Below are 18799 nucleotides of genomic sequence, written 5' to 3'. Positions count from 1 at the left end.
GGCTGTCTGGGCCTCCTGCCAGCCCTCAGTCCTGTCTCCATGCTGGCCTGCCATGCGAGGGCAGCCTCCCCTTCTTGGAGGCCCGCTTCGAACCAGTCTCCTAGATCTGCACAAACCCTCCCTCCAGCCTGGGCATGACCATGTTGTAGGCCGTGCACACAATACAGCCTACCCTAGGGCTTGTCCCCTCTGTACGTGGACACCTCTTCCCTGGACTCACTCTGCAAAGGGGCCTTTAACTGAGCACCTGTGCTCTGTGCCCTCACAGGTCTCCCAGGCAGCTGCGGACCTCCTGGCCTACTGTGAAGCTCACGTGCGGGAAGATCCTCTCATCATTCCAGTGCCTGCATCAGAAAACCCCTTTCGCGAGAAGAAGTTCTTTTGTACCATTCTCTAACTCCGTGTGTGATGAAAACGCCTCCTTTTCTGACCTTCAAAGTCCCCTGTAGAGACCATGCATGCTCTAAGCCTTAGGGAGTGAGACCAACACCCATCCCTGCCCAGCCAACAGTGGCCGGGGCTTGTCTTATGTTTCCATCTGTTTTCTTCGTGGCATTCAATTTCATTTTTTTCCTTTTCATTTTCATGTTATTTTCATTATTGGCAAAGAAAATCAAAATGTTTATAGCCAAATAACAAATGTGCCATGTAAAAGTAAGTCTGGACTTAAGAGTTTAAAATTTTTAAACATCAGTTTCCAAGTTTATATCATATTAATACATTTCAGTGGATAATTTATTTTAAAAAAAAAACTATGCCTAAATATCCCTTATTTGCAATATTCAGTATCAAATTAGAGCATTTTGACCAACTGAAACATATAACGTTTTCATCTCCTTTCCTGGAGAAAGCAGCTGCAGAGGTTCTGTATTTCCTGCATTTCCATCATCCTAGTAAAAAGACAACAACCCACAGGATTGGAATGGTTTTCTTTTGTTTTTTTTTTGTTGTTGTTGTTGTTTTGAGATGGAGTCTCGCTCTGTCACCCAGGCTGGAGTGCAATGGCGTGACCTCAGCTCACTGCGACCTCCACCTCCTGGGTTCAAGCGATTCTCCTGCCTCAGCCTCCTGAGTAGCTGGGATCATAGGCACGCGCCACCACACCCAGCTAATTTTTTGTATTTTTAGTAAAGACGGGGTTTCACCATGTTGGTCAGGCTGGTCTCAAACTCCTGACCTCGTGATCCACCCGCCTCGGCCTCCCAAAGCGCTGGGATTACAGGCGTGAGCCACCACACCCGGCCGTGGAATGGTTTTCTTAGCATATCCTCCTGGGGCCGTGGCGCCCCGGCTGTGGGCCGTGGTGGATGTCCCTTGTTTCAGTGGTCCTACAAAGGTAGATGGTGGGCGGACACCGAAGTCAACTTGACTGTAAAAGTACCCCATACCGTTGACGCGCTGTGGCAGACCTGTGGGTGCGGTCTCCCCTCTCCAAATGCCACCTCTTCCTGCTCCCTCCTCTTTTGGCTCCTACTCAGTAGTTCCATTGTGGGCTGCAGTAATATAAGGACCTGTTCTGGACACAGCACTGGGCCCGCTGGGGTTTTAGTAGGGCAGCCCCTTCCCTGCAGGAGTGAGGCATGGTGACAGCAGTCCCCTATGTGCCCCCAAGTCATCTGAGCATTGGTGTGCATTAAGGTACTCAATCTTCCAACAATAAATACCATAAGTGCATGTCTGTTTTATTTTATTTATTTATCTTTTTGAGACAGAGTCTTGCTCTGTCGCCCGGGCTGGAATGCAATGGCACAATCTCAGCTCACCGCAACCTCCACTCGCAGGTTCAAGTGATCCTCATGTCTCAGCCTCCCTAGTAGCTGGGATGACAAGCACACGCCAACATGCCTGGCTCATTTTTGTATTTTTAGTAGAGACGGGGTTTCACCATGTCGGCCAGGCTGGTCTCCAACTACTGGCCTCGAGTGATCTGCCCACCTTGGCCTCCCAAAGTGCTGGGATTGCAGGTGTGAGCCAGTGCACCCGGCCGTATGTCTTAGAGTGAGGGGAAACTGAGGCACAAAGCGTTTATGTAGTTTGCCCAAGGTTACACATGGTAAGCAGAAAAACTGGGATTTGAGGGCAGGCAGCCCGGCCCCAGAGTTCCCTTAGCCCCCTGAACTGTGCTACCTTCCAGGTCTACCTGTTTGCAGGTAGGGAGACCCACAAACTATCATAACTGCACACCGTGAAGCAAACACCTTTGTTGCAGTAACCCGTGGCACACTTCACTTCCCACATTCTCCAGGAGGAAGCCGTATTCTGGTAGTTTAAGGAAGGTGATTCATGGATGCCCCAAGGAAAGGCTAGACATCGATGAATTAGCTCTTGGATTGTCTAAGATCAACCTGAAGGTCCTACCTAAACCAAACTCATATGATCCCGATGAAAGAGGAGAATACACAGTGGGAGCAGAGCTCTTTGTGTAAGTTTGTTCTATTCTGTTTATTTGGAAACTGCCTCTCTCCCTAGTTCTGAAAGAGACTTGCTGTGTGATAGAGAACAGGCCATTTGTGCCTGAAATGTTCTAACCTGCAAATTGGGTTTAATGGTAATTATCCTGCCTTTCTGTCTGGGAGGAAACAGAGATGCTACATAGATGAAAGCTCTGATTATCATTTAAAACAAATAAATGTACTAAATGCCGTGGTATAATATAGGGAAGAATGGATGACTTCAAAGAGACCATGGTTCCGTTGGAGGCATAAAATTGCCTGCAAAGAGGCAAATGTAATTTCCAGACCAATTAATGACTTGCTGCCCTCGTAAATGGATTTAGGACATCTTTGTTCCTTGCTTCTTTTGTTAAAACTCATTCTTAGTTTCATTATCAGCTCACTAATAATACCAGTGTTGTTAAGATGCTCAAACTAGAGCAGAATTGTATGCTGGATGTGACGCTAGGACCTCAGATCCTTTGATAGTGCAGTTATGACCAGGATCTCTTTATTCTGTGCTTCACGTCAACATCATTAACCCGATGAAGCGAAGCACAAGTCATAAAGGCACATCAGAGAAGCCGAGAAAGCGGGGCCGTACAGAGAGCATCAAAATCAGGTCAGAAAAATGCTGCTTTCCTCTTCCACCAAACCTTCTCCCTGTTGTTTTTACATGCCCCGTCCCTCCAGATTCAGCCTCCGTTTTGTTCTCTCTCCTTTTCCTTTTCCTCCTCTCTTCCTTACCTTCCCCTGTGAGATGCTTTTCTGTCCTTTTACTGCACCTCTTCCAGACCTATGGCATTTGGGGACGGGTCACCCTTCCTAGAGTGATCCTGAATCCAGCTGCCTCTTCTTTTTTTGTTTTTGTTTTTGTTTTTGAGACAGAGTCTCTTTCTGTCGTCCAGGCTGGAGTGCAGTAGCGCAATCTTGGCTCACTGCAACCTCTGCCTCCTGGGTTCAAGCGATTCTTGTGCCTCAACCTCACGAGGAGCTGGGATTGCAGGCGCCCGCCACCACACCCGGCTAATTTTTGTATTTTTAGTAGAGACGGAGTTTCACCATGTTGGCCACGCTGGTCTTGAAGCCCAGACCTCAAGTGATCCGCCCGCCTTGGCCTCCCAAAGTGCTGGGATTACAGGCATGAGCCACCGCGCCTGGCCTAGTTCCCTCTTCTTAGATGGAGATTTCTGCACATGAGCTGTGAGATCCACAGACATGTCACTGAGCTCCCCCACTCTGTCAGTGGAAGATGAATGGAATAAAGCCTGCTTGCATTGTGGAGTGCAGCTGTGGGGACAGTTGTCATTTTTGTGTTTTCAGCTTAACTGTCCAGCATCTCCCCTCCCTTCCTACAGCAGGGACATCATGCCTTAGATATAAACTTAGTGGTGTGCAGTACCCACCGTGGAAGCTGAAGAAGGGAAGTATTTCCTGTCTCTCAGGCACACCCCGCTTCCAGCCCCATACCAGTCGGGAAGTGGTCATTGACCTGGGGTGGACTACCTGGACCCTTGCTTGGGGCTATGAGCCTGGAGAATGTGACACAAATGAAGGGATGCTGAGACTCATTTCAAGGAAGCCACCGTGGTCCGGGGTTGGTAGTCATACAGCAAGGCAGGTGGGTAGGGCTGGCAGGCTGCAGGGATGGTGTGTCCACTGGTAGCAATGTCCAGGGATGGCAGCGTCCTGGGAATGTCATTTCTGCTCCACTCCTTGGACTCGCTGAGCTGTCTCCGCCTCCACCTATCTTCCTACAGACCTCCCTTCTAGTTTTCTGTCAATTCTTTGAGCCAGCAAACTCCATCCAGTACATTCTTTCTTCTTTCATGAAAGAGCTTGAGTTGGATGTAAATATATATGACCTAACAATTCCACCCCTAGGTGTATACCCTACAGAAATGTGTACATGTGTTCATCCAGAGACATGCTCTAAATCTTCACAAAAACACTCTCCATAATAACCCCGAACAGGAAAGCACCCCAATGCCCATGTTGGCTGGATAAGCACATTAGGGTATATTCACACGATGGAATCCCAGACTGCAATGGGAATGAGCTGCAACTCCACCCCCAACTTGGAGTGTATTCACCAACCCTAGTGTTGAACGAGATAAGGCAAAAATGCACCATAGGATTCCATTTATATAAAGTTTAAAACCCAGCAAAATTCATCCATGCGGTTGCAAGTAGAGATCAGTCCTAAGAAGACAGTAACCAGAAGCGGGCATGAGGTGGTGCTTCTGGGGTGTTCTGTTTCTTGATCTGGTTGCCGGTTACCTGGGTGCTTTCCGTTTGTGAACATTCTTGGAGCTGTACACTTTTGATCTGGGCACTTTTCTGTGTGTATGTTATACTTCAATAAAAAGTTGGGCTTTGTGACTAGCAATCAAGAATCCTACTTTTTTGGCACTTTGCTCAAATTTTTACTCCTCTTTGGATATCATTAACATTACATTAATGATAACTAACATCGCTAGTGGGGCATTTTAAGAGCATGCTTGACATCATTTTAAAATACAAACTACGATCCTCGGCTATCTGGATGGAGAATAAGCCATCAGCACCACACAGGTAGGGCCCTGTGAACAAGATGCGCAAATGCTGTGGAAATTGTGTCTTTTGGGAAGACAGTGAGGAATCCCACTGCGAGTTCCCACTTGATGGCAGAGATGTTGTCCTCTCAGGCTCTCCTGCCTTCTGACCATCAGGAATGGATGGAGGAGATAGCCTGCTGCAAAACCCTATCATCAGACACCACCGTTGGGGAGGGAGCCGCAGCACAGGCCCCAGGGGGCTCTCCTATGACACCTCTGAATGCAAGCTCAGATGCCCAGGTCGCCCAGCCCGTAGGTATTAATACACTGGGGCCGGAATACTGATGGCCATGCCTTGCTCCTTCCACTCTGCTCACATCCCTGGGGGCTCTGGCCCTGCTTCTGAACCTCGGATTGTTTCTGAGCATCTCCCAGGGCGTCTCCCTTGTTCTCAGCTACCAAGCAGCCTCTGCCATCTCCCTGTGGCAGCTCTGACATGTTGAGTTCCAGGGCAATCACAGAGCAGCTTCACGCTGGGACCCCACGACCATGAGTCAAAAGGGCTTGCCTCTGATCCTGAGCTCCAGCCCCCATGGAAGTCAACTACTAATCTGTGAATTGTCAGCAGCCCCCCTGCTGCTGGGAGCCAGGGGAGGGAGCAAACCAAAGGGCAGAAGGAAGTTTGTTCTGGTGACTCTTCAGATTTGAGATGACAATAATAAGAGTAATAACAAGCAACATTGATCTGATGTCAGAGGCATGTGAACCAAAAACTCCATCTTGAATAGGGGCTGGGTAAAATGAGGCTGAAACCTACTGGGCTGCATTCCCAGGCGGTTAAGGCATTCTAAGTCACAGGATGAGATAGGAGGTCAGCACAAAATACAGGTTGTAAAGACCTTGCTGATAAAACAGTTTGCAGTAAAGAAGCTGGCTAAATCCTAGCAAAGCCAAGACGGCCGCAAGAGTGACCTCTCTGGTTGTCCTCAGTGCTACACTGCCGTCAGCACCGTGACAGTTTACAAATGCCATGGCAACATCAGGAAGTTACCCTATATGGTCTAAAAAGGGGAAGCATGAATAATCCACCCCTTGTTTAGCATATACTCAAGAAATAACCATAAAAATGGGCAACCAGCAGCCCTCGGGGCTGCTCTGTCTATGGAGTAGCCATTCTCTTATTCCTTTACTTTCTTAATAAAGCAAGTTTATTTCACTTTGCACTGTGGACTGGCCCTGAATTCTCTCTTGCATGAGATCCAAGAACCCTCTCTTGGGGTCTGGATTGGGACCTCTGTTCTTAACACTGAGAAGAACGTGGATGATAGCAATCCATTAGACAGAATTATTCACACTTACATCTCCTCAGCTCTTCGGGGGGTAAGACGCCAGATCATGGGCGGGTTTTTTTTGTTTTTTGTTTTTTGTTTCTTGAGATGGGATCTCGCCCTGTTGTGCAGGCCAGAGTGCAGTGACGCCATCACAGCTCACTGCAGCCTCGAGCTCCTGGGCTCAAGCAATCCTCCAGCCTCAGCCTCCTGAGTAGCTGGGACTACAGGTGCATGCCACCATGCCAGGCTAACTTTTTTTTATTTTTTTGTAGAGACAGGGTCTCACTATGTTGCCTGGGTTAGTCTCGAACTCCTGGGCTCAAGCAATCCTCCCACCTCTGCCTCCCAAGCACTGGGATTACAGGTGGGAGCCACCGTGCACTGCCATGGGCTGTTTTCATGAAAGATCAGAGGATGCCCTCTACTCCCCAGCTTCCAGCCACATCTCCTGGGTGGCGCACTGCTCCGCCGTCCCCAGGATGTAGGCCCAGAGCAGCAGAGGTGGAGGATGAGCTGGGCGTCTGCCCAGTTTTAATGCTTTTGTTGATGTGTGGACAAAACAGGGACACACTAGTACCATCCTGCATTCCATCTGGTTTCTAGGAAAACCCTCACAACTTGCTTCAGTTTCAGCTATACATAATTTACTAACTTGTAAATGTTCAAACCCACATACAATCATTAACCGCATGCTGGTATTGTAGCCACTTACTTCAAAGATTCACTAGTGACCCAGGGTGGCCTCCAAGGCCCTGCCTGCCCTGACTCCTACTTACTCTCCAGCGTCACTTTCACACCTCACTCCCCCTGAAAACCCTGTACTCCATCCACGCTGGTCATGATTCAAACCCACCTACTAGCCATGCTCCCTGCTGCCACAAGGCCTTTGCACCTGCAGCTTCCTCTGCCTGGCACACTCTTCCCTCCTCTCTTTGCCAGATGGACTTATTTGGTAGATCTTGACTCAAGCATCACTGAAGACTCAAGCCTTCTCTGACCTCTCTGACGAGGTCAAATCTATCTCTAGGTTCTTATTCACTGCGAGGCTCTCCTTTGAGACCCGTGTCATGGTTGCAGTTGTACACTTGTGTAAGTGATGACTCAAGGAAGATCTGTCTCCCCCACAATGCCATAAACCCTCTGAGAGCCGGGGTTCTAGGTGTGAAAGGAAAAGAAATCTCCCCGAAATCACTAAGCCAGAGGGAAGGGTCAAGCTGGGAACTGCCTTGGGCAAACCTGCCTCCCACTCTATTCCTAAGTAAGATAGCTACATACCCACCCCACCCTCCACCACCACCACCCCCGCAAGCCCCGCACTCCCTCACAATTTGCCCATGAGGAAATTCCTTGCAGACAAAGGACAGGCAGAAGTCAAAGTCATCCCTCTGCTCATGTGAGACAAATGCACATCTGATTTGCTTGCTCTGCCCTATTGTTTCACTAAGCCAGACTAAGGCATAAGTGACTAGTCCTGTAAATCAGCAGTCCCAAACCTTTTTGGCACCAGGGGCTGGTTTTGTGGAAGACATTTTTTCCACAGATGTGGGGTGGGCGGGATGGTTTCAGAGGAAACTGCTCCACCTTGGATCATCAGGCATTAGTTAGATTCTCATAAGGAGCAATCTAGATCTCTCCCATGCACCGTTCACAATAGGGTTCACCCTCCTATGAGAATCTCATGCCACCACAGGTCTAGCAGGAGGTGGAGCTCAGGCGGTAATACTCACTGGCTGCTCACCTCCTGCTTCCTAACAGGCCACAGACCCATACTGGTCCGCGGCCTGGGGGTAAGGGACCACTGCTGTAAACTGTTTATTCAATGAAAGGCTAATCAGAAACTCAAAAGCATGCAACAGTTTGTCTCTTATCTACCTAGGACCTGGAAGGCCCCTCCCCACTTTGAGTTGTCTTGCCTTTCTGGACTGAACCAATGTACATCTGACATATATTGATTGATGTCTCATGTCTCCCTAAAATATATAAAATCAAGCTGTGCCCCGACCACCTTGGGCATATGTTGTCAGGAGCTCCTGAGGCTGTGTCATGGGTGTGTTCTTAACCCTAGCACAAAAAACTTTCTAAACTGATTGACACCTATCTTGGATACCATTTGGTTTATATGGTTTTACTCATTCCCAGTACCTAACATATCATCTGGCACATGATGGCAATCAGAAGGTATTATCTGAATAAATGCATGAAAGTTACTACTAGTCCTTTCTTGACATTAAGTGCTTCTCCTTAGGGGTGTGAATGAACCCTTAGAAGACTGAAATAGTAACCAAGGAAAGGGGGGCGGGGGAACCAATATTTGTTGAGTGCGAACATCATGTGCCAGGTCTTAAGCAAAAGAGTTAACTTCTTTTTTTTTTTTTTTTTTTTTTGGAGACAGAGTCTTGCTCTGTCAGGCTGGAGTGCAGTGGCACAATCTCGGCTCATTGCAACCTCCACCCCCCGGTTTCAAGCGATTCTCCTGCCTCAGCCTCTCAAGTAGCTGGGATTACAGGCACACACCACCATGTCTGGCTAATTTTTGTATTTTTAGTAGAGATGGGGTTTCACCATGTTGGCCAGGCCGGTCTCAAACTCCTGACCTCAGGTGATCTGCCTGTCTCGGCCTCCCAAAGTGCTAGGATTACAGGTGTGAGCAACTGTGCCCAGCCAGGAGTTTTTAAATCTTTACAAATTGCATTGTGATATTCTTTATCCTCATTTGGTAGATGTAGGTTCCTCATATAAATATGAGGAAGCTGAGTTTAGGCTGGGTGCAGTGTCTCACACCTGTAATCTCAGCGCTTTGAGAGGCCGAGGAGGGCAGATTGCTGGAGCTCAGAAGTTCAAGACCAGCCTGGTCAACAGAGCAAGACCCCATCTCTACAAGAAATTTAAAAATTAGCCAGGCATGGTAATGCATGTCTGTAATTACAGCTACTCAGGAGGCTGAGGCAGGAGGATCACATGGGATCAGGAGGTCAAGGCTGCAGTGAGCTGAGATCGTGCCACTGCACTCCAGCCTGGGCAGCAGAAAGAGATGCTGTCTCAAAGAGAGAGAAACAGAGAAAAGAAAAGAAACTGAATTCAAATTAAGTAACTTGCCAGATGTTAGACAACTACTAAGTGACTGAATTTGAATTTGAATCAGTCCACTTGACAACACCACTACCCTGCCTGCTGTCAGACTGAGGCATTTAAGAACCAAAAGGCTCGGCCAGCACGGTGGCTTACGCCTGTAATCCCAGCACTTTGGGAGGCAGAGGCAGGCTGATCACCTGAGGTCGGGAATTCGAGACCAGCCTGGCCAACATGGAGAAACCCTGTCCCTACTAAAAATACAAAATTACCTGGGCGTGGTGGCACATGCCTGTAATCCCAGCTACTCAGGAGGCTGAGGCACAAGAATCGCTTGAACCCGGAAGGCGGAGGCTGCGGTGAGCCGAGATCGTGCCATTGCACTCCAGCCTGGGCAACAAGAGTGAAACTCCAAAAAGTCTCAAAAAAAAAAAAAAAAAAAAAAGAGCCAAAAGGCTCTCATCTCCTCCATACCTCATTTAAAGAAAAAATGCAGGGCCAGGCACAGTGGCTCACGCCTGTATTCCCAGCACTTTGGGAGGCCAAGGCAGGCAGATCACTTGAGGTCAGGAGTTCGAGACCAGCCTGGCCAATATGGTGAAACCCCATCTCTAAGAAAAATACAAAAATTAGCCAGCATGGTGGTGCCTGCTTGTAATCCCAGCTACTTGGGAGGCTGAGGCAGGAGAATGGCTTGAACCCGGAAGGCGGAGGTTGCAGTGAGCTGAGATTGTGCTCACTGCACAATCTCTTTACTCTCTCCGATGGAAACTACGGCTCAACGTTCTTTACAGCCACAGGCTTTCACGGACTTCACGCTATCATTGGATCAACATTTCTCACTATCTGCCTTCTCCGCCAATTAAAATTCCACTTTACATCCAGCCACCACTTTGGCTTTGAAGCTGCCGTCTGATTTGACACTTCGTAGATGTAGTATGACTATTCTTACACGTCTCTGTCTACTGATGAGGATCCTACTCTTTTAGTATAAACAATACCATTGATTTCCAATCAGTTTCAATAATATCCAAGAGAGTAATCAACCTGACACTAGCCCTAGTAACCAACACCTTACTGGCCCTATTACTAATAACAATTGCATTGCTCCCACAGCGTAATACTTATATAGAAAAATCCAGCCCCTGTGAATGCAGATTTGACCCAATAGCCTCCGCCTGCCTCCTCTTTTCCATAAAATTCTTCCTAGTAGCCATCACATTCCTCCTTTTCGACTCAGAGATCACTCTACTACTACCCCTGCCATGAGCCCTTCAAATAACCAACCTGACACTAATAATCAGCGCAGCCCTTATACAATTACCACTTTAATCCTAGGCTTGACATGAATGAGCCCAAAAAGGATTAGACCGGGATGAATTGGTAAATAGTTTAAGCCAAAATAAATGATTTTTACTCATTAGATTATGATAGACCATGTTTACCAAATGCCCTTATTAGCACACACCATATCACTGCTAGGGATATTAGTCTATCGATCCCACCTAGTATCATCCCTGTTATGCCTAGAAGGCATAATACTATCAATAGTTATCATAAATACTCTTACAGCTTTAAGCATACATTTCACTCTAGCACCCATAATCCCCATCATCCTCCTAGTATTTGCTCCCTGCGAAGCTGCAGTGGGCTTTGCCTTACTAGTTTCAATCTCCAACACATATGGCCTGGATTACGTACAAAATCTAAATTTACTTCAATGCTAAAAATTATTATTCCAACAATTATACTGTTACCAATGACATGATTCTCTAAAAATTCTATAATCTGAATCAACATGATTATTCACAGCCTACTCATCAGCCTCGCCAGCCTACTATTTTTTAACCAATTCAGCGATAACCCATCCAACCTCTCATTAATTTTCTCTTCTGACCCGCTGACGTCACCGCTTCTAATCTTAATAGCCTGTCTACTGCCTCTTACAGTTTTTGCTAGAAGCCAATATCACCTGTCCAATGAATCACCCCCATGAAAAAAGCTCTATATTTCTATATTGATTTCCCTACTGACTTTTTTAATCAGAGCATTCACAGCCACAGAACTAATTATATTTTATATCCCCTTTGAAGCCACACTAGTTCCTACCCTAATTATCATCACCCACTGAGGCAACCAACCAGAACGCCTCAATGCAAGCTCATACTTCTATTTTACACACTAGTAGGATCCCTTCCTCTACTTGTAACACTTGTTTATACTCAAAATACCTCAGGTTCACTAAACATGCTAGTAATAATACTTACTACCCAAGAGCCATTAGCCTCCTGATCCAACAATCCTACATGACTAGCATGTATCATAGCTTTTATAGTAAAAATACCTCTATACAGGTTTCACCTATGACTCCGCAAAGCCCACGTAGAAGCCCCTATTGCGGCTCGATAGTACCTGGAGCAGGACTCCTAAAGCTAGGTGGCTACAGTATAATACAACTTACTCTTCTCCTCAATCCCCTAACAGAACATATAGCATACCCTTTCCTCATACTGTCCCTATGAGGGAGAGTTATGACAAGCTCTATTTGTCTATGACAAACTGATCTAAAATCATGTATTGCCTACTCCTCTGTAAGCCACATAGCACTTGTTATCATGGCTATCCTCATTCAGACCCCTTGAAGCTTAACAGGTGCAGTCACCCTTATAATTGCTCATGGACTCACTTCAGCCTTACTATTCTGCCTAGCAAATTCAAACTACGAGCAGGCCCATAGGTGAACCCTATTACTTACCGAACGCCTTCAAACACTGCTTCTGCTAATAGCCTCTTGATGACTTCTAGCAAATCTTACTAACCTTGCCTTACCCCACACCATTAATCTAGTAGAACTCTTTGTGACCGTGGCCTCATTCTTCTGATCTAATATCACTATTATGCTTATAGGACTTAATATACTAATTACAGCCCTTTACTCCCTAAATATGCTAATCACAACACAACGAGGGACACTTGCATATTATATTAACAGTACTAAACCTTCCTTTACACGAGAGAACACATTAATACTTATACATCTTGCGTCTATCTTCCTATTATCTTTAAACCCTAAACTTATTATGGGGTTTGCATGCTGTAGCTACAGTTTAACCAAAACATTAGATTGCAGATCTAATCATAGAAGCCTGCAACTTCTTACCTACTGAGAAAGTATGCAAGAACTGCTAACTCGTGCCCCCATGCCTAACAACATGGCTTTCTCAACTTTTAAAGGATTAGAGTCATCCGTTGGTCTTAGGAGCCAAAAGCATTGGTGCAACTCCAAATAAAGCAACAAACATGTATTCTTCCACTGCTATAACATCCCTAATCCCCTTAATCTTACCGATTACCATTACCTTAGCCAACCCCCGCAAAAGTTTCACACCCAAATTACGTAAAAACATCTATCGCATGTGCCTTCGTTATTAGCCTCATTCCTACAACAATGTTGATATGCACAGACCAAGAAGTCATTATCTCAAACTGACACTGAATGACCGTCCAAACTCTCAAACTCTCACTAAGCTTCAAGCTAGACTAATTCTCCACAATATTTATCCCAGTAACACTCACTGTTCATTACCTGATCTATTATAGAATTCTCAATATGATATATAAACTCAGACCCTAACATTAATCAATTGTTCAAATACTTATTTTCCTCATCACAATATTAATTCTGGTTACCGCCAACAACCTCTTTCAGCTCTTCATTGGATGAGAAGGCGTAGGAATCATGTCTTTCTTACTAATCGGCTGATGGTACGGCCGAGCAGATGCTAATACAGCAGCCAAGCAGTTCTGTACAACCGCATCGGCAATATTGGCTTTATTTCAGCTATAGCATGATTCCTCCTGTCCTCCAACACATGAGAATATCAGCAAAAAATAAATTCTAGACCCTACCCCCAACTCCCTCCCATTAATTAGCCTTCTCTTAGCAGCAGCAGGAAAGTCAGCTCAATTCGGCCTCCATCCCTGACTCCCATCTGCCATAGAAGGCCCAGCCCCAGTCTCAGCCCTACTCCACTCCAGCACTATAGTTGTAGCAGGAGTGTTCCTGCTCATCTGCTTCTACCCTTTAATAGAAAATAACCTATCAATCCAAACCTTTACATTATGTCTGGGGGCTATTACTACCTTATTCACAGCCACCTGTGCTGTAACACAAAATGATATCAAAAATATCATAGCATTCTCCACCTCAAGCCAGTTAGGCCTTATAATAGTCACAATTGGCATTAATCAGCTGCATCTAGCATTCCTTCACATCTGCACCCATGCCTTTTTCAAAACTATATTATTTATATGTTCAGCGTCCCTCATCCATAACCTCAGTGAAGAACAAGACATCCGAAAAATAGGAGGGCTATTCAAGACTCTACCCCTCACTTCCTCCTCCCATTTTATCAGCAGCCTCACAACTTACAGGTATGCCTTCCTCACAGGCTTTTACTCCAAAGACCTCATTATTGAACCTGCAAACACATCATACACCAATGCCTGAGCCCTTTCTATTACGCTTATTGCCACCTCCTTGACAGCTGTCTACAGTACCCATATTATTTTCTTCGCTCTAATAGGGCAACCTTACTTCATGACTCTGGTTATTATTAACGAAAATAACCCCTTCCTAATTAAACACCTAACAATCAGCAGCATCTTCGCCGGATTCCTCCTCACCAACAGTATTATTCCTGCGTCATCCCCCCAAACAACCATACCACTCCACCTGAAGCTCACAGCCCTAGGTGTGACCACCTTAGGCTTCTTACTAGCAATGGAGTTTAATCTCATAACTAATAACCTTAAACTAAAATACCCACTACAGACATTCAACTTCTCCAAAATACTAGGATTCTATTCAGTCACAATTCACCATACAACCCCCAACTCAAACCTATCCACAAGCCAAAATCTGGCTTCACTACTACTAGACCTAATTTGACTAGAAAAGTCTATACCAAAGACCATTTCACAAACCCAAATTTCAGCCTCCATTACTGTGTCTACTCAAAAAGGCCTAATTAAACTCTACTTTCTCTCTTTTTTTATCCCATCCCTTTTAACCCTACTCCTAATTATCTAATCTATTACCCCGAGTAATTTCAATCGCAACGTAAATAGTAACAAATAATGATCAACCAGCAACTACCACTATTCAACACCCATAACTATACAAGGCAGCCGCACCCACAGGATCCTCATGCAACAACCCCTCCCCCTCCCCCTCAAAAATCATCCAACTCTCTATGCTGTTAAAATCAATCATGATCCCCACCCCATCATGCTCAACTATTCACCAAACCGACAGCAACCCCTTTAATACTCATAATAGTAAAGCCCCTCAGATGTCAATATTTGACCCTCATGTTTCAGGATATTCCTCAGCAGCCATTGCCATGGTATAGCCAAAAACAACCATCATGCCACCCAAGTGAACCAAAAAGACTGTCAACCCCACAAAAGCCACACCAAAAATCAACACAATACCACAACCTACAGCACCACTAATAATTAGCTCTAGGCCCCCATAAATAGGAGAAGGTTTCAAGGAGAAACCTACAAACCCTATAACCAAAAGGACACTTAATAAAGATATAAAATATGCCATTGTTCCCACATGGACTATAACTATGACTAATGACATGAAAAATCATTGTTGAACTTCAACTAGAAGAACACTAATGGTCAATATCCGCAAAACACACTCGCTAATAAAAATTATTAGTTACTCACTAATTACTCATAGTGTGCACTCCAGCCTGGGCAACAGAGTGAGACTCTGTCTCAAGAAAAGAAAAAAAAAAAAGCAGCTACTAATTAACCATGAAAGCACACTTTTTTTTTTTTTGAGATAGGGTCTTGCTCTGTCTCCCAGGCTGGAGTGTGCACACTATTGACTTCATAGTATTGTTATACTTTCTTGCCATTTAAAAATCAAAAAGCACCTGCATTCTATAAATGCACCTTCACACAGTGTAGCTGTGTACTGGTTTCATTGTGGTAATTAAGGCCGGGGAGGGCCACTGCTGCTAAGAAGTGAAAGAACAGCTTGAAGAGGAAAGAAACATTGTCCCATGAAACACGAAGGTAACATGGTCCGTTTAGTTCACACATAAGGCCTGTTATTAGGAGTAGGGAGTATCTGAAGTGTTTCCGTGAGAAAAGAGACCTATTATTACCATGGCCAGGTGTGCGCACAAGTATGCATTCTCTGGCTGTTCTTTCCAAATCATTTGGTAAAATTCTCATTATTTAGTACATTTTATCTCATCTTTTCTTTTTCAGTTATATTAGACTTCATTCAATTTGATTTTACATATAAACCAATCCCTGGGGCAAAATAAAGGAATTCATTGGTTTGGACAAATCCAGTGCTATGCAGCTGATGCCACTCTTCTTTATTTATTTCTTTTTGCTTTGTTTTGTGTTTTTGAGATGGGGTCTCGCTGTGTCACCCAGGCTTCAATGCAGTGGCACGATCGTGGCTCACTGCAGCCTGTACCTCCTGGTCTCAGGCAATCCTCCCACCTCAGTTTCCTGAATAGCTGGGACTACAGGCACACGCCACCATGCCTAAGTTTTCTATTTTTTATAGAGACGAGGTCCCGCGATGTTGCCCAGGCTGGTCTCAAACTCCTGGGCTCAAGCGATCCTCCCGCCTTGGCCTCCCAAAGTGCTAAGATTACAGACATGAACCACTGTGCCTGGCCTTTGATGCTACTTTTCTAATACCTTTCTCCTGATCAAATAATTAGTTGTTTCATCTTAGCCCTTACTGGTGTGTAACATTTGGAAGTGCAGATCCACATTGGCACAGCTTCCTTTAGTTAAAAATTACGGCCGGGAGCAGTGGCTCACACCTGTAGTCCCAGCACTTTGGGAGGCCGAGGCGGGCAGATCACCTGAGGTCTGGAGTTCGAGACCAGCCTGGACAACACGGTGAAACCCTGTCTCTCCTAAGAATACAAAAATTAGCTGTGCATGGTGGTGCGCATCTGTAGTCCCAGCTACTTGGGAGGCTGAGGTAGGAGAATCACTTGAACCTTGGAGGCGGAGGTTGCAGTAAGCCAAGATCGTGCCACTGCACTCCAGCCTAAAATACAGAGTGAGACTCTGTCTCAAAAAAACAAAACAAAAAAATTACATAGGAAGAAGAAAATCCAAGAGGAAAGAAGACACCTTGCTTGATAGATAAATAAAAATTGAGCCAGGAGGTATTTAGGAGGCCAAAAACCAAAAATCAGAATGGCAAAGAGCCTGGGCTTTGGAATCAGAGATGCTCGGGTTGAAATCCTGGCTCTGACATCTACTGGCTTTGCCACTGTCCAAAGCTCTCATTTCTTCATCTAGTAAAATGAGGATAATAACACCTATTTCACAGGCAGCTCTTGATGATTCATGAAATCACATAAGTATTTAACACATGCCTGGGACATAACACATGCTCAGTAAATAGGCATTAACTGTATTTACCCTATCCATAATTATTGTGGTAACGAGTCCACACAAAGACTCAGAATTTCAGATAAGAGTTGGTCATTTGCCGAAGATGCATGGAGGGAAGGAGAGACAGTAACACTTACCAGCTAGTAACTGGGTGCCCATCGCGCTCCAGTTTCATAACACATCAACATCACAGTCTGTTTATACAGGAGTACAAGCTAAGACCCCCTCACTCCAGGAACTGAATTATGAAGAAAATAACTCATGATATGCCGGAAAGATAGCACTTTCCCATAATCAGCACCAGAAGGGGAGGTCAAGTCTGTAATGAAAGCTCTCAAACTTCAAAATTGCTATTTCAAGAGGTGATGATAAAAGCCTTTCGAAGGACGGGGCACAATGACGCACACCTGTAATCCCAGCACTTTGGGAGGTTGAGGCAGGAGGAGGTCAGGAGTTCAAGACCAGCCTGGCCAACATGGCGAAACCCCGTCTCTACTAAAAATACAAAAATTAGCTGGACCTGGTGGTGCACACCTGTAATCCCAGCTACTCGGGAGGCTGAGGCAGGAGAATCTCTTGAACCAGGAGGCAGAGGTTGCAGTGAGCCAAGAATGTGCTACTGCACTCCAGCCTGGGCAAAAGTCATTTTGGAGGTCGAAGTACTTATTTGGGAAAACATTCAGGGTCTAGGAAGGGGCCACAGTATTAACCCAATATTAACCATTAAATATCTCTCTGGTGGCTGGGACTTGACTTTGTTTCTAACCACAATTGACCCTTGAACAATGCAGGGATTAGGAGCACCAACCCCTTTCCCTCCTCCTAGCAGTCAAAAATTCACTTATAACTTTTTTTTTCTTTTCAAGATGGAGTCTTGCTCTGTCACCCAGGCTGGAGTGCAGTGGCTCGATCTCGGCTCACTGCAACCTCCGCCTCCTGGGTTCAAGCAATTCTCCTGTCTCAGCATCCCGAGTAGCTGGGATGACAGGCACACGCCACCACGCCCAGCTAATTTTTGTATTTTTAGTAGAGACAGAGTTTTGCCATGTTGGTCAGGCTGGTCTCAAACTCCTGACCTCAGATGATCCACCCGCCTCAGCCTCCCAGTCCTGGGATTACAGGCGTGAGCCACCGCGCCCAGCCACACACAACTTTTGACTCTCCAAAAACTTAACTACTGATAGCCTAGTGTTGACCAGAAGTCTCACCAAGAATATAAACAGTCAATTAATACATTTTTTATGTCATGTGTATCATATACTGTATTCTTACAATAAAATAAGCCAGAGAAAATAAATTTTATTAAGAAAACTGTAAGAAAGAGAGCCAGGCATGGTGGCTTATGCCTGTAATCCTAGGACTTTGGGAGGCTGAGATGGGAGGATAGCTTGAGCTCAGGAGTTGGAGGCTGCAGTGAGCTAGGTTGTGCCACTGCACTCCAGTCTGGGTGACAGAGGAAAGGACGAAAGAAGGAAAGAAAAGAAAGAGAAAGAAAGAAAGAGAGAGAGAGAGAGGGAGGGAGGGAGGGAGGGAGGGAGGGAGGGAGGGAGGGAGGGAGGGAAGGAAGGAGGGAGGAAGGAAGGAAGGAAAGAAAGAGAGAAGGGAAAGGAAGGGAAGGGAAAGGAAAGGGAAGGGAAGGGAAGGAAGGAAGGTCATAAAGAAGATAAAGTATATTTACTATTCATTAAGTGAAAGTGGATCATCATAAAAGTCTTCATCCTCATCTTCATCTTCACATTGAGTAGGCTGAGGAGGAAGAGGAAGAGGAGGAGTTGGCTTTGCTGTCTCCGGGCGGCAGAGGTGGAAGAAAATCCACATATAAGTGGACCCACGCAGTTTAAGCCCCTGTTGTTCAAGCCTCAACTATACTAACAAGTAGTGCTGTCTTTTTGTGGTGAGCTGATTTCTCTGTTATATTCCAGTTTTCACCTCTGCCAATTTTGAATGAGTAAGCAGTGGACCAAGATACCAAAGG

The 18799-nt window shown here is 45.6% G+C and overlaps 1 protein-coding gene and 6 pseudogenes across 6 annotated transcripts in view, besides 1 other annotated feature; 6 read left to right on the top strand and 1 right to left on the bottom strand.

Annotated features, from left to right (window-relative positions):
* GNG4 (G protein subunit gamma 4) overlaps window positions 1–4821 on the top strand; it is a 102924-nt gene extending 98103 nt beyond the window's left edge. For all 6 annotated transcript variants that reach the window (NM_004485.4, NM_001098721.2, NM_001098722.2 and 3 more), the window contains one exon: window positions 269–4821. In NM_004485.4, coding sequence (NP_004476.1) covers window positions 269–397 — 129 coding nt within the window. In that variant the 3' untranslated portion in view covers window positions 398–4821. The remainder of the gene's footprint in view (window positions 1–268) is intronic.
* Window positions 6101–6601: an enhancer, noted in NCBI's record as "H3K4me1 hESC enhancer chr1:235709205-235709705 (GRCh37/hg19 assembly coordinates)". NCBI's record gives its function as "activates a minimal SCP1, AML or CMV promoter by ChIP-STARR-seq in primed H9 embryonic stem cells {active_cell/tissue: H9 hESC(primed)}" and the evidence as "EXISTENCE:reporter gene assay evidence [ECO:0000049][PMID:30033119]".
* On the top strand, window positions 10116–10347 carry MTCO3P46 (MT-CO3 pseudogene 46; annotated as a pseudogene).
* MTND3P8 (MT-ND3 pseudogene 8) lies at window positions 10414–10749 on the top strand (annotated as a pseudogene).
* On the top strand, window positions 10800–11094 carry MTND4LP21 (MT-ND4L pseudogene 21; annotated as a pseudogene).
* On the top strand, window positions 11090–12461 carry MTND4P10 (MT-ND4 pseudogene 10; annotated as a pseudogene).
* On the top strand, window positions 12694–14455 carry MTND5P19 (MT-ND5 pseudogene 19; annotated as a pseudogene).
* On the bottom strand, window positions 14465–14986 carry MTND6P14 (MT-ND6 pseudogene 14; annotated as a pseudogene).

Source organism: Homo sapiens, chromosome 1, assembly GCF_000001405.40.
Source record: "Homo sapiens chromosome 1, GRCh38.p14 Primary Assembly".
In the NCBI taxonomy this organism is placed as follows: Eukaryota; Metazoa; Chordata; class Mammalia; order Primates; family Hominidae; genus Homo; species Homo sapiens.
Note: the sequence above shows the minus strand (reverse complement) of the source record. Positions and strands in the feature narration are given on the sequence as shown.